The sequence below is a fragment of the Homo sapiens genome, chromosome 5, assembly GCF_000001405.40.
Source record: "Homo sapiens chromosome 5, GRCh38.p14 Primary Assembly".
NCBI lineage: Eukaryota > Metazoa > Chordata > Mammalia > Primates > Hominidae > Homo > Homo sapiens.
The window spans coordinates 31,996,313-32,015,551 of record NC_000005.10 but is presented as its reverse complement, the minus strand read 5'-3'; the positions used below and the strand labels follow the sequence as shown (position 1 = coordinate 32,015,551).

General features: G+C 47.2%; 1 protein-coding gene across 8 annotated transcripts in view; it reads right to left on the bottom strand.

Moving 5' to 3' along the window:
* The window catches only part of PDZD2 (PDZ domain containing 2), a 471,802-nt gene that overhangs the window by 95,381 nt on the left and 357,182 nt on the right, over positions 1-19,239 (bottom strand). For 7 of the 8 annotated variants that reach the window (XM_005248269.5, NM_178140.4, XM_011513992.3 and 4 more), the window contains 2 exons: positions 15,281-15,413; positions 5,070-5,222 (listed from right to left, as the gene is read on the bottom strand). In XM_005248269.5, coding sequence (XP_005248326.1) covers positions 5,070-5,222; positions 15,281-15,413 — 286 coding nt within the window. The remainder of the gene's footprint in view (positions 1-5,069; positions 5,223-15,280; positions 15,414-19,239) is intronic. The other variant, XM_011513996.3, reaches the window with a different exon arrangement.

The following is a 19,239-nucleotide window of genomic DNA, read 5'->3' as shown; positions in this document are numbered from 1 at the left end:
GGCCAGGCGAGGTGGCTCACTTCTGTAATCCCAGCTATCTGGGAGGCCGAGGTGGGAGGATCGCTTGAGGCCAGGAGTTTGAAACCAGGCTGGGCAACATAGTGACGCCCCATCCCTACAAAAAAAGTACTTAAAAAATTAGCAGGCTGCGGTGGCGTGCACCTGTACTCCCAGCTACTCAGGAGGCTGAGGTGGGAGGATTGCTTGAGCCCAGGAGTTTGAGGTTACAGTGAGCTATGATCACACCACTGCACTTCAGCCTGGGTACCGCCAGAGCAAGACCCTGTCTCTAGAAAAAAAGAAATTGTCGGGCTAGGTGCGGTGGCTACCGACTGTAATCCCAGCACTTTGGGAGGCTGAAGCGGGCAGATCACCTGAGGTCAGGAGTTCAAGACCAGCCTGGCCAACATGGTGAAACCCTATCTCTACTAAAAATACAAAAATCAGCTGGGTGTGGTGGCGGGTGCCTGTAGTGCCAGCTACTCAGGAGGCTGAGGCAGGAGAATTGCTTGAACCCAGGAGGCGGAGGTTGCAGTGAACCGAGATTGCGCCACTACACTCCAGCCTGGGCGACAGAGTGAGACTCCGTCTCAAAAAAAAAAAAAAAAAAAAGAGAGAGATTGAGACTATCCTGGCCAACATGGTGGAACCCCGTTCTCTACTAAAAATACAAAAATTAGGTGGGCATGGTGGCACATGCCTATAGTCCCCAGGAGACTGAGGCGGAAGAATCGCTTAAACCCTGGAGGTGGAGGTTGCAGTGAGCAGAGATTGCGCCACTGCACTCCAGCCTGGTGACAGAGTGAAACTCCATCTCAAAAAAAAAAAAAAAAAAAAAAAAAAAAGAAATTGTCATTGCAGAGCAGAAAATGAAGAGAGATTCGGAGAAGAACTGCCAATCAGGTAGAACAGGGCCATGGGTGGTATGGGGGAAGGGCTAGACTTTGATATTTCTGAGACCAAACTGGCAGTCTTTAATCTTGTGGTGGTGGTGACAGTGGGGGTGAGTCGTGGCAGACGGCGAGCCCTGTCACTGAAGCCAGACCCCACTGAGATGACTGACAATTATGCAAATGATTGTGGGGTTTCACCATCCTGTTCCCATTCTCTTTTTCACTGGCTTCTACTCCTTAAACTTGATATTCACCATATGGTTTTATTCTAAGCATGGATGGAGCTTTCTGAGAGGAAAATCTCATTGCTCTTTATTGTAGCCATTAAAAATAAATCATAAGGGGACGCATGGCAGATCCTCAGCATTTGTATTGCATTTGCTCAGCTTAAGTGCTCGGAGTACACGACGACATACAGGTGCAAAAACAGTCCATGTCTGGCTAGAATTTGGCGGCAGGTTTCATCATCATCATCTGTGAACTAAAAGGCTTTTTGTAACTCAGGTGATTAAAACAGTACCACATTTCTTTAAGTGGTCCTTTCATTTTTAAAAACGCTGAAACAAAGAATCATAGATTGTGAACATATAACTAAAAAAGAAAGAACATTTTTTCAGTAGTTCAGCACCTTTATAAGGCACAGCAGGGCCGACCCTGGTAGACTGTGAAGCCTGGAAAATGTCCTCTCCTGGCTGCCCACACTTCCTGCCCCCTGCAGGGCTCTGTCTCAGGCCTGGTTCCCCTGGGCTGCAACGAGAACTCAAGAGAGGGCTGAGAAATGATGGGTGTTGAGGCTTTGGTGATGGCCAGGCATGAAGCCCGGTTCCACCTCCTCCGTGAGTGCCTTGTGATGGGGGTGGAGCAGAAGGGGAGGGAGGCGGAGGTGGTGTCCCGTCTGGTGCACAAGGGAAGGAGAATTGTCAAAGTAGGATCAGTGCTGGTTTCTCCACCGAAGATAATGGGCTTAGGATCAGTGTATTAAGAGCTTCTGGTGGCATGACGGAGAAACCCAGAAATAGAGCCAGGACAACAGGTACAACGGTGGTGAAATACTGCCGAGAGGCTTAGCTTCCCCTTAAAGGCAACACAAAGCTTCCCAAATCTAGTGTGTTATGACAAAATGCATTGACATTCCCTTGAAGAAACTACAGTAATAAACTCATAAAACAATGTGTGATTAATTGGTAAACTTTTCTAAAGATAATGTTTTTGGTGATGGTGGGAACTGGCCTATCCTACAAGTGTAAATTACTATAATCTCCCCAGAAAAAAACCTTTGACTAAGCAATTTTACTGCTATAAGCCATGTAAGGAAATGTCAAAAAAAAAAAAAAAAGATAACACAGAGAGATATAGGAGCAAAGATGTTCTATACGAAATTACATTTAAAAAAATTTGAATACAAAATGTGAAGTACATTGGTGAAACAAATTACGGCACTTTCATGTTAAGGAATATTAACCATTATAAATCATGTTTCAGAAGACCCTTTAATGACATAGGGATACATTCATGATTATGTCATTAAGACCATAGCGTTTCATAAGCATGTTAATATAAGGTCAATTAAAAATACAAATATGCTTAAAGAAAAAAAATTAGAAAGCCACAGCAAAATGTTATAGATGGCTATCTTTGAATACAGAATTGTTGGTGATTTATCCTGTCTCTAGGATTTTTTTGGTCAAAAACATTTACATAGTAAAACATTACTTTTATACTCGGAAAAACTCATATGAATTATGCATAATTTAAATTATATGTAGTCATTAGAATTATAATAAATTTATTTAAATTGTAAGTTTAAATAATAACTTAAATAAAAATACATTATATAACATGTAATATATTTAATATATGTAATAGGTTATTTATTAGAGCTTCATATACTAGTATTTAGTATATGAAGTTTGAATTAAATAATTCCTTGCAGTTTTTTTGCAGGAGAGTATGACTGAAGAAATTTTTTTGGGCCAGGTGCGGTGGCTCACGCTTGTAATCCTAGCACTTTGGGAGGCTGAGGCAGGTGGATTGCCTGAGCTCAGGAGTTCGAGACCAGCCTGGGCAACACAGTGAAACCTCGTCTCTACTAATGAAAATACAAAAAATTAGCCAAGCGCGGTGGCGTGCGTCTGTAGTCCCAGCTACTCGGGAGGCTGAGGCAGGAGAATTGCTAGAACCCGGGAGACAGAGGTTGCAGCAAGCCAAGATCACGCCACTGCACTACAGTCTGGGCGACAGAGCAAGACTCCGTCTCTAAAAAACAAAAAAAAATAATTTTTTAAAAAATATGCGTGCTTGTAAGCTCTCTACAAAGAGCTGTTATGCTCCGTCAATGGCTTGGAGGCTCAGCAGAGGGGGTGCAGACGTGCTGCAGGGCTGTCCTCGCCGCAGACCCAGGGCTTACTTAGCTTTCCACTGAAAGCTGGCTGAGATGTCTCCGGGCACAACTGCTGAGCAATGAGATCCTGCTCAGTAGGGATGAGCCCTCTAGACTGTGGGAACAGGAGGGGACGAGAGCAATGAGGAACCCCCTGGGCTGGAGAGTTGCTAGTGAAGGATATACAGTAAGGAAAGGTCAGAATGCTGGAGCTGTGCTGGAGCTGAAGTCTGCTGTTGTACCGCCACATCATTTCCCTTCTTGTAACCATGGAAAACAAGGAGCAGAGGGTAACTGCCGTGCCAGCACAGAGCACAGGGAGCCCCTATACTGCCATCCTTCAGAAAACGGTTATAATAAATCTAAAAGCTTATGATGTTTATGATGTGAATGGTACACCCTTACAAGTGACACCTTTGTGCAGTCCACAACCTGCACAACCATGCTTGGTAGCCCTAGGTTTCCAGGAACAAAAAGGAAGACGAAAAGCAACTTTTCCCCCTTTAAATATAGCTTACTGTGGTAAATGAGATGCATCTTTCATCTTCTAAGGCCTTATTCTAAGCAAAGCTGATTTTCCAGTGCTTACCTATGCTGCCTAGGTTCAGGAGAGTGGGAAGGAGGAAGGGGCTCCAAGGGGCAGAGAGAGGGCACCCACCCACCCCACAGCTGTTTAGATGGGGAACAAGGGCTAATAAGAGTTCACACTAAAAATGACACATCTTTCAGATTTGGGACGCAAAGAAGAGACCACAGAGCCTTATATTATTACTATTTTTTGAGACAGGGTCTTGCTCTGTAGCCCAGGTTGGAGAGCAGTGGCATGATCACAGCTCACTGAAGGCTTGACCTCTCAGGCTCAAGTGATCCTCCTGCCTCAGCCTCCTGAGTAGCTGAGACTACAGGCATGCCCCACCACACCTGGCTAATTTTTTTTTTTTTTTGTATTTTTTGTAAAGATGGGGTTTCGTCATGTTGGCCAGGCTGGTCTCCGACTCCTGAGCTCAAGCAATCCACCCACCTTGGCCTCCCAAGGTGCTGGGGTTACAGGCATGAGCCACAGCACCTAGCCTTTTTGTGTTATTTTAACATTCCACTTTGAACCAGAAATCTCTCCATCCAAGTTTAAATTCACTAATAGTAGTTGTCAAACACACCAGCAAGGCATAGCAGCAAAATCCTTGTATATATTATAAAGCATTCTAGAAATTAATATATGCACTGAACTCAATATCCAGTTGTTGTTGTTGTTGTTGTTTTTTTTTTTTTTGAGAGGTTTTTGGAGAGGGAGTCTCGCTCTGTAGCCCAGGCTTGAGTGCAGTGGCGAGATCTCAGCTCACTGCAACCTCTGCCTCCTGGGCTCAAGACGATTCTCTTGCCTCAGCCTCCTGAGTAGCTGGAATTACAGGCATGCACCACCATGCCTGGCTAATTTTTGTATTTTTAGTAGAGACTAGGTTTCATCATGTTGGCCAGGCTGGTCTTGAACTCCTGACCTCAGGTGATCCACCTGCCTCAGCCTCCAAAAGTGCTGGCATTACAGGTGTAAGCCACTGTGCCCAGCCCCCTGGGTTGCTTATCTTGTTTACCATTTCATTTTTTTTCCTTAAAGGAAAAATATCACCCTCACAGATTTTTCTCAGAGATTCCGAGAAAAACATAGAAAGAATGCACTGGTGTCTTTTCCCATCATGGTCTCTATCATACTATCTCAAGCATTTATCCCCTAATCCTGGCGCCCAGGACTTCAGAAAAAAGTAATTCCAACAGAAAGCCAGGAGCACAGAGCCACTTACTGCTCTCTGGACAGAAGAGCTGGTTCCTTCGTCCTCTTCCCCGTCTGCCTCCTGGTCTTCGTTATCAGTCCAGGAGGACACATCTTCTACCGAGCTGGTCAGATCTGGCAAGCTCTTAGATGTTAACCTGAGGAGGTCCTCTGCGGAGTTTTCCTATGGGGACACAATTAAAGGCCCATCCATGAATTACTCCCCAGAACCAAGCAGTTCTTGAAGGCAACCTGGCACAGTCAAGCTACATGCTCCCAAACCAAAGACTACATGGAGTAAATGTTCTGTGTCTGCAAGGTTACCTCAAAGGCCAGGGGTGTGGACCCAATTTAAACCCAAATCCATTTTTTCCCCACAGAGAATGTATGATTCTTAGCTGTTTCTTTTTTTTCTTTTTTCTTTTTTTTGAGACAGTCTTGCTCTGTTGCCCAGGCTGGAGTGCAGTGGCGTGATCTCGGCTCATTGCAACCTCCGCCTCCCGGGTTCAAGTGATTCTCCTGCATCAGCCTCCCAAGTAGCTGGGAATACAGGCATGAGCCACCACACCTGGCATTGTATTTTTAATAGAGATGGGGTTTCACCGTGTTGGTCAGGCTGGTCTCGAACTGCTGACCTCAAGTGATCTACCTGCCTCAGCCTCCCAAAATGCTGGGATTACAGGCGTGAGCCACCACACCCAGCCTTTAGCTCAGTGTTTCTATGGGCAATCCAAGCTCCCTGAATTTAAGATCCCTTTATAAAACAATCATTTTTTTTTTTAATAGACAAGGTCTCATTCTGTCACCCAGGCTGAGTGCAGTGGTGCAATCATAGCTCACTGCAACCTCAAACCTCTGGGCTCAAGTGGCCCTCCTGCCTCAGCCTCATGAGTAGCTGGAAGTACAGGGCATGCACCACCATGCCTGGCTAATTAAAATTTTTTATTTTGTAGACACAAGGTCTCACTATGTTGCCCAGGCTGGTCTCGAACTCCTGGGCTCAAGCCATTCTCCTGCTGTGGCTTCCCAAAGTGCTGGGATTACAGGAGTGAGTCACCGCACCTGGCCCAAGATCCTCTGCTGGCCTCCCCTGGACTGCTTTCAGGATGCTGTCTAAAGAGGTCAGCATCTTTTTTTTATTGATTTTTTAATTTTAATTTTTATTTTTTTGAGACAAGAGTCTCGCTCTGTTGCCCAGGCTGGAGTGCAGTGGCACAATCTCAGCTCACCACAACCTCCACCTCCCCAGTTCAAGCGATTCTCCCACCTCAACTCCCAAGTAGCTGAGACTACAGGCACACGCCACCATGCCTGGCTAATTTTTGTATTTTCAGTAGAGACGGGGTTTTCACTATGTTGGCCAGGCTGGTCTCGAACCCCTGACCTCGTGATCTGCCTGCCTTGGCTTCCCAAAGTGCTGAGATTACAGGCATGAGCCACCGAGCCCGGCTAGATCAGTATCTTTTAGAGCTGCTTCTGCCCCACTCTCCAAACTCATCCCCCTCCTCCTGTCTCCCCACCAACCCACTCTGATGCCATACTGCCTTCCAAACCCTTTGGACTCTTCCTTGCCCACTGCCTTTTCCGCCAGCAGCTCCCTCTGCTGGGACCACCCTTCCTTTCACGACTGAGGCCCACGCGGGCAAGGCTTGAACACCTCTCCTTCCGAAAGCCCACCTGGGTCATCTCAGGAGCCACTCCATTTGCCTCTCCTTTCTTCTCTAAAGTCTTTGACTACTGCTTTCATCCCCTTGCAGTGTGTCTACTTGTATATCTCCCCTGCGTGTCTGAGAATTGCTCCCACCTAACACCATTTCCATTCACTGCTGTGTCCCCAGGCCTAGCCCAGAGCTCACATATCCATGATCTCCTCCTTCCTGCTCCTGTGCTCATTTCCCTAGCATATGCTCATTAGAAAGAGATTCAACTGGCTGGGCGCAGTGGCTCATGCCTGTAATCCTAGCACTTGGGAGGCCGAGGCGGGTGGATCACCTGAGGTCAGGAGTTCAAGACCAGCCTGGCCAACATGGTGAAACCCCATCCGTCTCTACTAAAAATACAAAAATTAGCCAGGTGTGGTGGGCGGGCAACTGTAATCCCAGCTACTTGGGGGACTGAGGCACAAGAATCCCTCGAACCCGGAAGGCGGAAGTTGCAGTCAGCTGAGACTGTAGCCTGGGCAACAACAGCAAAACTCCATCTCCAAAAAAAAGAAAAAAAAAAAAAAAAGAAACAAAAGAGATTAGATTGTTGAATCAAAATGTCAGATAAGGTCTTTTTCAATGAAGGCAGTCCTTGAACAACTTTTAAAGGTCAACAAAAATACATGGAATAAGACTCCATTTATTTATTTATTTATTTATTTATTTATTTATTTTTATTATTTTATAGAGATGGGGTCTCGCTATGTTGACCAGGCTGGTCTCGAACTCCTGGCCTCAAGTAGTCCTCCCATCTCAGCCTCCCGAAGTGTTGGGATTACAGGCATGAGGGACCGCGCCCGGCCCAGACTCCATTTGGATAAGATTCTGAAGGGGCATCGCCAACACACAGCCCTTTGATCTTATGTACAGGTTAAGGCTAGAGTAGGCTGTAAGACGCAGGTGAGATCATGAAGGCCTTGCTGCAAATGCGGACCACACAGGAGCCAGAGCCCTCCGGGGAAATGCCGCAGCACATGAGGGCCAGGGGCCAGGGAGGGGGCTGGGGCTCTAGAGCGAATCCATGGCTCTAGAAAGAGAGCAAGAAGAGCTACCTGTTCTCTCAGTCCTTTGCGTTGGCCATTTCCACAAGGAAGGAAACACACAGAACGTCTTAATCATATTTAATCACATTGCGTGAGGGTTAACAGAAAAGAGGACCAAAAAATAAATGAATGAAACCCATCTTAAACAATGGATGTTACTGAATATTAGCAAGCTGGCATCTAGCGACAGTGATGTTTGTTACTAGTTTCACGTTGGTTCCACCTTCAAAGTACCTGAAGATAATTTGAATCAGTAATTGTGAATCCTATATTGTTAGGCCTTATCTAAGGAAAGGGAAAAAAAAGTGAGTTCAGTCCTCTTCTGTGATGTCAATTCTACTTCTGCTAGATTAACCGAAAAGAGTGTTTTTTTTTTTTTTTTAAATCCCAACTGTGAAGTAAAGGCATAGCAGATACAGGATAGACTACTCTGCGACCATTAAAGATGGTGCTGGGGCTGGGTGTAGTGGCTCATACCCGTAATCCCAGCACTTTGGGAGGCTGTGGCGGGTGGATCAGTTGAGGCCAAGAGGTTAAGACCAGCATGGCAGGCCGGGCGCGGTGGCTCAAGCCTGTAATCCCAGCACTTTGGGAGGCCAAAGCGGGTGGATCACGAGGTCAGGAGATTGAGACCATCCTAGCTAACACAGTGAAACCCCGTCTCTACTAAAAAATACAAAAAAAATTAGCCGGGCGTGGTGGCGGGCGCCTGTAGTCCCTGCTACTCAGGAGGCTGAGGCAGGAGAATGGCGTAAGCCTGGGAGGCGGAGCTTGTAGTGAGCTGAGATGGCGCCACTGCACTCCAGCCTGGGAGACAGAGCGAGACTCCGTCTCAAAAAAAAAAAAAAAAAAAAAAAAAAGACCAGCATGGCTAACATAGTGAAATCCCGTCTCTACTAAAAATATAAACATTAGCCAGATGCGGTGGCACGTGCCTATGGTCCCAGCCACTCAGGAGGCTGAGGCAGAAGAATAGCTTGAACCTAGGAGGCGGAGGTCGCAGTGAGCCAAGATTGTACCACCGCACTGCAGTCTGGGTGACAGAGCGAGACTCTGTCTCAGGAAAAAAAAAAAAAAAAAAAAAAAGGTGTTGAGCCTGGCAGTGGTTCATGCCTGTAATCCCATTACCTTGGGAGTCCTAGGTAGGCAGATCGCTTGAGGGCAGGAGTTTGAGACCAGCCTGAGCAACACAGAGAGAGATTGCCTCTACAAAAAATTGTTTAAATCTGTCTCAAACAAACGAACAGTAGCCATGTATGGTGGCACGTGTCTGTAGTCCCAGTTACTTGGGATGCTAAGATGGGAGGATCACTTGAGCCTCAGGTTTCAGGCTGCAGAGAGCTATATGATTACACCACTCAATTCCAGCCTGGGCAAAAATGCAAGTCCCTGTCTCAAAAAAAAAAAAAAAAAATTGTACTTCCTAACATGGAAAGATTCTTACAGTATGCTACTCAGTGAAAAAGCAGGTTAAAGTAATATGTAATAACTATATTAATAATGTATGTAATAATAAGCTAAAGGTAATAAACTGTGATAACCATAAGGCAAACATTTATCCAGTTCTTGCTATAACCAGCTACACTGCTCAGGGCCCTTGATATCTTTTTTTTTTTTTTTTGAAGTGGAGTCTCACTCTGTCACCCAGGCTGGAGTGCAGTGGCGCGATCTCAGCTCACTGCAACCTCTGCCTCCTGGGTTCAAGCGATTCTCCTGCCTCAGCCTCCCTAGTAGCTGGGATTACAGGTGCACGCCACCATGCCTGGCTAATTTTTGTGTTTTTAGTAGAGACAGGGTTTCACCATGTTGGGCAGGCTGGTCTCGAATCCTGACCTCAAGTGATCTGCCCACCTTGGCCTCCCAAATTGCTGGGATTACAGGTGTGAGCCACTGCACCTGCCCCCTTGATATCTCATTTAATTCTCCTAACATCATCCTCATAAGGTAGTTACTGATTCTCACTGTACAGGGAAGAAAATGGAGAATTAGGAGAGGTAACAACTTGGCCAGGACATGCAGCTTTTAAAGGGCTGTGCTCGATTTAAGTCCAGGTGGGACTGCCTCCAGGGTATATATGCCGTTTCCTTGTATTTGACTCCATTTTACAGAAAACATGTATGTACATGTTGCACACACATACAGATGTTCCCAGCTGGAAGGACACTCCAGTTAATGGATAGTAAGTACTATTGGTGGTATTATGAGAATTTCATCATCTTCTTCTTCTCTGTTTTTTTTTTTTGGGTTGTCTACATTTGATACAATACATATATATTACTTGTTAATAAAAACCAAGAGTGAAAAAAGCAAAAAAGCGAGCAAGAGATCTGTACTGATATATGTTGCTTCCAGGCATATCAAAACTAACTTGTATATTCTGAGTTTATTCATTCAATAAAAACTTCCTAAGCTCCTACTATAAGCAAATAATTTATTTGTGTGGAAACATAAGGCATCCTCTCCACAAGAAAGTAACTGCTGTATTTCCAAAACAATGCCTTAAAGTTTTGCAACAAGGTGACTATTATCCATAATAAGAATAGTTTACATTTTTGTTTTTCTTTATATTCAGCAAGTCAAAAGCTCTCCCCTCCCTCTTCAAGTGTGAAGACAGCAAGGAAGCTTGTGGATTACTTGCTCTTGTTGGATAAAGAAGAGAAACATGTCAAGAGGCACATGAAGGCTGCTATCTTTTTTCTCCTATGTGGATGAGGACCTTGGATGGTGTAGATGAAGTTTAGGAGCAGCAGGCAGCTGCTGTAGCAGTTTAGTGCCTAATTGTAAAATGGAGTGTATTGGAAGAAGAGAAAGGCCTCACTCTTCTGAGGCCTGGGTCAGCTTCAGCACCACAGCTCAGTACAGATGCCCAAGGGCCAATGGATTGAGAACTTGGATGGACACCCATCCTTTGGTTCTGGAATGCTACTCAGCCCCACGAGGACCCAAGCAAGCGTCCCTAAAAGTCAAAGCCTCTAGCAGGAACACATTATCTTTTTCTAATACCATTGGCTCTAGTGTTCTTTATATTTTATTTGCATAAAGGCAGCTTGGTGCACGAGAAGCAGCTTGAACTCTGAAGTCTGGTGGACTCAGGCTAAAACCTGATTCTGGTTTCTACTGCTGTGTGACCTCAGGGCAAGTTAATTAACCACTGGGATTTGTTTGTTTTTGTTTTTTGAGACAGGGTCTTGCTCTGTCACCCAGGCTGGAGTGTAGTGGCATGGCCACGGCTCACTGCAGCCTTGACCTGCTAAACTCAAGCAATCTTCTTGCTTCAGCCTCCCAAGTAGCACGGATTACAGGTGTGTGCTACCATGCATGGCTAATTTTTTGTTTTTTATTTTTGTAGAGAAGAGGTCTCACTATTTTGCCCAGGATGGTTTTGAACTCCTAGACTCAAGAAATCCTCCTCCTTAGCCTCCCAAATTGCTGGGATTACAGGCATGAGCCACCATGCCCAGTCCAACCACTTGGAACTTAATACCATTCACTGAATAAAAAGAACTAAAACCACCTGGCACCCTGTGGGCACCTGGTACATGCAGCGTGCTTTCTTCCTTTAAGTTGGTGTGTCTCACAGGGAGCAGGCATCATCGAGGAACCAGTTTTCCAAGTTTTCAAAGCCCCTTCATTATTTGCTTTACCCATAAGTGGCCCCCCCACCTTTTTTTTTTTTAATCTTACGTTTTGTGTTTCTGGATAACGACTTGACAAAGAAAAGCCATCCCCTTCCCCATTTTCCAAACTAGCAGGAGAGGCTGGATGCAGTGGCTCATGCCTGCAATCCCAGCACTTTGGGAGGCCAAGGTGGGTGGATCACCTGAGGTCAGGAGTTTAAGACCAGCCTGGCCAACATGGCGAAACCCCGTCTCTACTAAAAGTACGAAAATTAGCCAGACGTGGTGGTGGGCACCTGTAATCCCAGCTACTTGGGAGGCTGAGGCAGGAGAATCGCTTGAACTCGGGACGCAGAGGTTGCAGTAAGCCAAGATCACATCATTGCACTCCAGCCTGGGTGACAGGAGTGAGACTCCGTCTCAAAAAACAAAAACAAAAAACAAAAACAAAAACAAAAAAACTAACAAGAGAAGGAAGTCAGCACAAGAAATGCAGGTTTAGCAGTACATGGTGGAATGCTCGTGCAGAAACCCATGTTCTTCAGCACACGATTTTGAGGAGGTGGGCTGTGCAAATGAAACACGCGTTCTCTGCAGACACATGCCTCTGTGTGTGTGTGTGCGTGTGTGTGTATGTGTGGTGTTTGTTTATGATGTGGTGTGTGTGTAGTGTGGTGTGGGGGGGGTGGGTGTGTGTTGGGGGGAGTGTGTAGGGTGTGTGTGGGGGGGGTGTGTGTGTGGAGGAGTGTGTGTGTGGTGTGTGTGGGTGTGTGTGTGGTGTGTGTGTGGTGTGGTGTGTGGTGTGTGTGTGGTGTGGTGGGGGTGTGTGTGTGGGGTGTGTGTGGTGTGGTGTTTGCTGTGGTGTGTGTGTGGTGTGTGTGTGGCATGTGGTGTGTGTGTGGTGTGTGTGTGAAGGTATATGTTGGTGTGTGGGTGTGTGATGTGTGTGGTGTGTGTAGTGTGTGTGTGGTGTATGGTGTGTGGTGTGTGTGTTGGTGGTGTGTGGTGTGTGTGTGGTGTGTGTGTGGCGCGTGGTGTGTTTGTGGGGTGTGTGTGTGGAGTGTATGTTGGTGTGTGGGTGTGTGATGTGTGTGTGGTGTGTGTAGTGTGTGTATGGTATGCATGTGGTATGTGGTGTGTGGTGTGTGTGTTGGTGTGTGGGGTGTGTGTGGTGTGTGTGTGTTGGTGTGTGTGTGGTGTGTGTGTGTTCGTGGTGTGTGAGGTGTGTGTGGTGTGTGTGTGGTGGGGGTGTGTGTTGGTGTGTGTGGTGTGTGTGTGGTATGTGGGGTGTGTGTGTGTTGGTGTGTGGTGTGTGTTGGTATGTATGTGTGGTGTGTGTTGGTGGTTGTGTTGGTGGTGTGTGTGGTTGTGTGTTGGTGTGTGTGGTGTGTGGGGTGTGTGTGTTGGTGTGTGGGGTGTGTGTGTTGGTGTGTGGGGTGTGTGTGTTGGTGGTGTGTGTGGTGTGTGTTGGTGTGTGTGTGGTGTGTGTGTGTAGTATGTGGGGTGTGTGTGTTGGTGGTGTGTTGGTGTGTGTTGGTGTGTGTGTGGTGTGTGTGTGTGGTATGTGTGAGGTGTGTGTGTGTATAAGACCCAAAGATGCTTTCAGGCTCCCACTTCATCTGGCAAAACAATGAACTAGTTTCTCCTTCTCTTGCAGCATTTCCCTCCTTGTGGAATTCACCAGCTGACAGAGAGAATCCCGGGGTTTGTTCTGCCGCCCCATTTCCGGCGAGGGGCTACAGACAGCCCACAGGCAGACGCTCTGGGTGAAGACATGCAGGGAGCGCGATGGACTCAAGAGACACCCCAAGGTGTCCCTTGGTACCTCTGGAAGAGGAAGAAAGGACCTATGAATGGACAGTGGTCTCAACGCCTACCTCCAGGGACTCAGACGCCCCCTCTTCCTGCCAAGTCTTCACCAGAACTCTGTAGATAGATTCTCTTTGGAAGTCTGAGAGTCTAGGTCAAGGGTTTGGGGTAAAAGGTGTAAAGAAAGGAAAGCAGATTTTTTGGATAGCCCAAAATGTTCTTCTAATCTATTTGTTCAATACTCCGAAAATCAGCAATCGATCTTGCAATTCAAGGGGGAAAATATAAAGAGACCTATGACGCCAGGTTTGAAATAACAACAGAGATCATGGAAAAAGGATTCCCCATATTAGCAAGAGCGTCATGCTGCACAGGGCTAAGAGGGTGTGGCCTCATCCTGTCCTTCCCGGCTGGAATTGGAATAAAGCTTCATGGCTCCACTTCACCAGTTCCTCGGTCACATAGCCTCTGCCCTAGTCTCATCAACAGCACATCGGCCTACAGCTAAGACACACGAGAGGTCACTGCCTCCTCTTTCTCACCAGGCCACATAGACGCTGCCCTAGTCTCATCAACAGCACATCGGCTCACAGCTCAGACACACCAGAGGTCAACGCCTCCTCTTTCTTACCACAGTTGTGAAGTCCTGCAGACTAGCCAGTGCTTTAAGAAGGAGATGCTGAGGCTCAGAATTGGGCACTATATTAATGCACTCTAGGGTGGGTGTGAAAGAAGCTCTGGCCTGCCTGGGGCGTCAGGACCTGTGGAGGACCCGTGGAGAAGAGGCGGCAGGGAGACAGGGGACAGACACTGGGCTGGGCGTTAGGGCCCGGGTCCTGGCGCTGCTGATGGCATCATGGCCTCTGCAAGACGGTAGTGGCCACGGAAGCTCTGCCTCACTGTCTCATTTGTAAATTGGCTGGGCAAACAGGATTCACAGCGCCTCCTCCAGCTCCAACACTCAAGAGGCCACAAGTGAGAGCAGAAGCCACAGGCTGCCCTCGGCGGCCCCTGAGCCTCTCTTCCCTTTCCAGCTGCCCAGGCTTCCAAGTCTCCTCTTCAGCTCCTCCTGGAAGAGCTGCCGCTCTCTCTACATTGTCCTTCCTTACCATTCTTACCTTTTCTTTAGCTCTGTTCTTTCCTTTCCATCCCCTAACACTGCAGTCCCTGACCTTTTTGGCACCAGAGACCAGTTTCATGGAAGACAATTTTTCCAAGGATGGTAGGGGCAAGAGGGATGGTTTTGGTATGAAACTGTCCCACCTCAGATGATCAGGCATTAGATTCTCATAAGACGCGTGCAACCTAGATCTGTTGCGTGTGCGGTTCACAATAGGGCTCGCATTCCTATGAGAGTCCAGTGCCGCCGCTGATCTGACAGGAGGCGGAGCTCTCAGGAGGTAACGCTGTCTCACAGGCCACTCACCTACTGCTGCGCAGCCCAGCTCCTAACAGGCCATGGACCAGTGCCCATCCACAGCCCAGGGGCTGGGGACACCTGCCCTAACATATACCTATAAAAACTCTTAAAGGGCCAGGCATGGTGGCTCACGCCTGTAATCCCAGCACTTTGGGAAGCTGAGGCAGGTGCATCACCTGAGGTCAGGAGTTTGAGACCAGCCTGACCAACATGGAGAAACCCCATCTCTATAAAAAATACAAAATTAGCCGGGTGTGATGGCATGTGGCTGTAATCCTAGCTACTTGGGAGGCTGAGGCAGGAGAACTGCTTGAATCCGGAAGGTGGAGGTTGCGGTGAGCCGAGATTGCGCCATTGCACTCCAGACTAGGCAACAAGAGTGAAACTCCGTCTCAAAAAAAACAAAAACAAAAACAAAAACAAAAACAAAAACAAAAACAAACTTCTTAAGGAAAGCCAAGTAACTAACTGCACTTCAGCTAAGGGTCTCCATATAGCGTTGCCCTGTGGAAGCAAGGCTGTTTCAATAGCCCAAGGCAAACGTACAAGTGCACACATGTCTTTGTGTGTGTGTGTGGCATGGGAGGTGGGGCTCAACCCCAACTCACCACTGCCACCATTACGAGTACCAAAAAACAAACACGACCTACCTTGCTGGCCACCACAAGCTGCACCATTCCCGTGGCGGAGCGAAGAATGGCCACTGCTTCCTCGTGGGAGAGCCCGACCAGTAAATGACCATTGATTACCAGCAGCTCATCTCCTAAGGACAGCCTGCCATCCCTGAGGAAAGGGAGATGGGAAAAAGATCCCTTGTCAAGACATTCTGGGCCTGAGAAGGGCCATTTTCTGGAGCTAGGGAGGGTTGTGAGGAGGGACGGTTAAGATTGGGCTAAAGAGGATACTGTGATGGCCAGAGGCAGTTGGGGATGCGATTGTTTATTCATGTGTCCAGATTCCCATCAGAGGATTCCCTCCATGATTTCAGGCAGTGGCTCAGCAATATGCACATTAAGGTCACCGGCCTACCTGGCATCAATGTCAGTGAAACTCCCATCCAGGTGGAGATGTTGATAGAGGAACCAAGACCCCAAGGTTTGAGGAGAGTCGAGTCATTCGTTTCTTAATCCTCCCTGCCATCCTGCCCTGATGACTGAGTCACTGAGCTAAGCTCAGAAACAGCAGAGGTATCCTAAGCCCACCTGCATTCCTTACCTAATGCACTGCACTCCTCTCTTCCCAGGGATGTGACCCTGACCAGATGTCCTCTGGGGCACCTGTGATTCACACTACACTACACGTGTCTCTATCTCCCAACAGAGTTACAGGTCCCAGAGGGTAAAGTCTCTCACTCTCGGCACCTTGTTTTCTTTTTTTTAAAGTATGTTTTTTTGTGTGTGTTTGTTTTTGAGACAGAGTCTTGCTCTGTCATCCAGGCCGGAGTGGAGTGGCACAATCCTGGCTCACTGCAGCCTGGAACTCCTGGGCTCAAGTGATCCTCCTGCCTCAGCCTCCTGAGTACCTAGGACTACAAGTGCGTGCCACCAGGCCTGGTTTCTGCTTCTTTTTCATCCTTGAGTCTCTCCAGCCAAGCTTCATGTACAGAAGGACGAATCAAAACAAACAAACAAAAAAAAAAAACAAATCCCGCCACCCGCCCCCCCCAAAAAAAAGCAATTAAGAAAGGAAAAGAACAAATAAACTGCCTAAACTGCTGTCACTGCAGGTATCAGACCTGGGCTACAAACACGGTGTACACAAACATTTTCTGTTTCTTTCCCTTAAATTAAATTATGCCTGACTCAACTTTCTTCCCATTGGGCTGGCAAGAGACTCAGGTGTCATGGGGACTGCCTCCCCTAGGGAGGGTCAGGGCTTGGCATGGCACACTGTGCCAGAGCACTGGACAGGCCCCTTCAATCGTGGTGAGTCAACAGTTCTGTGGATTCCACCAGAGCCTCCAGTGCTCTGATCTCCCAGGATCCCAAAGGAGCCAGACATGGCTGAATGTGGGATAGGAAAGCTGGTGAGGCAGAGGGACCTCGAGCCTCGGATCCCACCGCATCCTCTAGACCAAGCTTGGCCAACCTGTGGCCTGCATGTGGCCCAGGATGGCTTTGAACATGGCCCAACACAAATTGGTAAACTTTCTTAAAACATGATGAGATTTTTTGGTGATGTTTTTTAAGCTCATCAGCTATCGTTAGTGTTAATGTAGTTTATGTGTAGCCCAAGACAATTCTTCCTCTTCCAATGTGGCCCAGGGAAGCCAAAAGATTGGACTTCTCTGTTCTAAAGGTTCACATCAGCACCTAGGGTGCTGCCATGAAACACATGCACGCCTCCGACACGCCCAGAAGCTCCGTTTGTCTCCAGTCTCTAGGCTCTCCCCTGGCTTTCTTTCAATGAATCAACTGACTTCTCTCTTTCCATCCTTCCCTCCCCTTTCCTTCCTTCAACAGCTTTTCTCTCACTTTCTGTCTCCTTCCTCTAGGGCATGTGCCATTGTCTTTTCTATGAATTTGGGCTTTAACAGGAGACAGGAGACACCAGAGAATTCTGATAGTCTCTGTTTCTGTCCTTCAAAAATTCCTGAAGCAGAGAAATGCTAAGGGCCCCACTAGTTGTTTGGAATGGTGGGAGAAGGGGAATGGGAAGACCACAGAAGAAACAAGCTGGAATCTCAGGAGCTGTGTGGGTGGGCCACTCAGGAGCTGTTTCCTATGGGAGGAGAGGGATTGAGGAATCAAGAACACAATGGTTCAGACCAGTGTCCTGGGCTTACTAATTCAGAATGCCATCAAGACCATCTCCATCCCTTGGGAGGCTGAGATGGATGGATCACGAGGTCAGGAGTTCAAGACCAGCCTGGCCAACACAGTGAAACCCCGTCTCTACTAAAAATACAAAAATTAGCCGGGTATGGTGGCAAGCGCCTGTAGTCCCAGCTACTTGGGAGGTGGAGGCAGAAAAATCACTTGAACCTGGGAGGCGGAGGTTGTGGTGAGCCGAGATCGCGCCACTGCACTTCAGCCTAGGCAACAGAGCGAGACTTCACCTCAAAAAAGAAAAAAAGACCATCCCCACTCCCTTTTCCTATTTCCCTCTTTCATTTCTCTCATCTCCTGTTACTAACTAAAATGCCCCGCTTGTGAATCGTATAGCCCAGAGGCTCAAAGAGACACACACACACAACTCCAGGCTAAGAATGAAATGAAAAGGATGAGACCCAATAGAAATGGCTCAGATGGAAAATAGACAAGAACAGTTCTTTGTAAGTTTATCTCTGGGCACAGGAATTTCCTAATGGCCAACTTGTTAAAGGAAGACTAGAACTTAAGACCTATGATTAATGGGAAACTGTCTATCTGACAGGAGCTCCTCAAAACATATGTCATTTTGGAAGTTAAGTAATGCTCTTTGGAGTAAAAACCACCTAAGGTCTTAATCCTTCAATAATTACTACCACCCAGACAACTAACAATTGCAGTTAATCTTATCTCTACTTTAGTGATTAGCATCCTATTCTGTAATAAAAGAACTGATGAGCATAAAAGACTTTGCTGGTTTGTGCCCTGGTCCTCTTCTTAGTTTTCCATTCTTCAGACTATCTCCAGCTCCTTCAACTGTACCTCATGTGATATCCTTCTGTGTCCCCTCTCAAGCTTGGGCAGGCCAGTACCAGTCTGGTTTGCCACACCCCTCTTAGAATCAGGGTACCTGAGCTGAACACCAAGTTCCGGACTAGATAAAAGATGATCAACTCGCTTATCAACGAAACTCTCCTTTTATATGCCTACTGTATATGTGTGGGCATACAACATACGTACACGCCCCAGCAGGCCTTGCAAATAGTAGACACCCTATGTGCATGGAAGCAATTAGCTAGCAGTCAAGAGCCTGCCTGACATTTTGGGACAGCTACATCCTTCTTACTCAAAATAAACTGTTTTGCACATGCTCTAGCTAAACACCATTCCTCTTCCTACTTCCAGATCATTGTTCAGATTAAAAAATAAGTTTTTGTTTGTTTTTTTGAGACAGAGTCTCTTGCTCTGTCACCCAGACTGGCGTACACTGGCACAGTGATGGCTCACACTGCAGCTTCGATCTCCCGGGCTCAAGTGATCCTCCCACCTGAGTCTCCTGAGTAGCTAGGACTACAGAAGTGTGCCACCATGACCAGCTATTTTGTTCTATTTTATTTTTTAATCGAGACGAAGTCTCACTCTGTTGCCCAGGCTGGAGTGCAGTGATGCGATCTTGGCTCACTGCAATCTCCACAACCTAGGTTCAACCCATTCTCGTGCCTCAGCCTCCCAAGTACCTGGGACTACAGGCACAAGCCATCACACCTGGCTCACGTCTTTGTAAGTTTAGTGGAGATGGGGTTTCACCTGTTGGCCAGGCTGGTCTGGAACTCCTGATCTCAGGTGATCCGCCTCAGCCTCCCAGAGCACCCACATTACAGGCGCACCCAGCTGCTATTTTTTAATTTTTATTTTTTGTAAACACCAGGTCTCACCATGTTGCCCAGGCTGGTCTTAAAATCCTGGGCTCAAGCAATCCTCCTGCTTTGGCCTCCCAAAGTATTGGGATTACAGGCGTG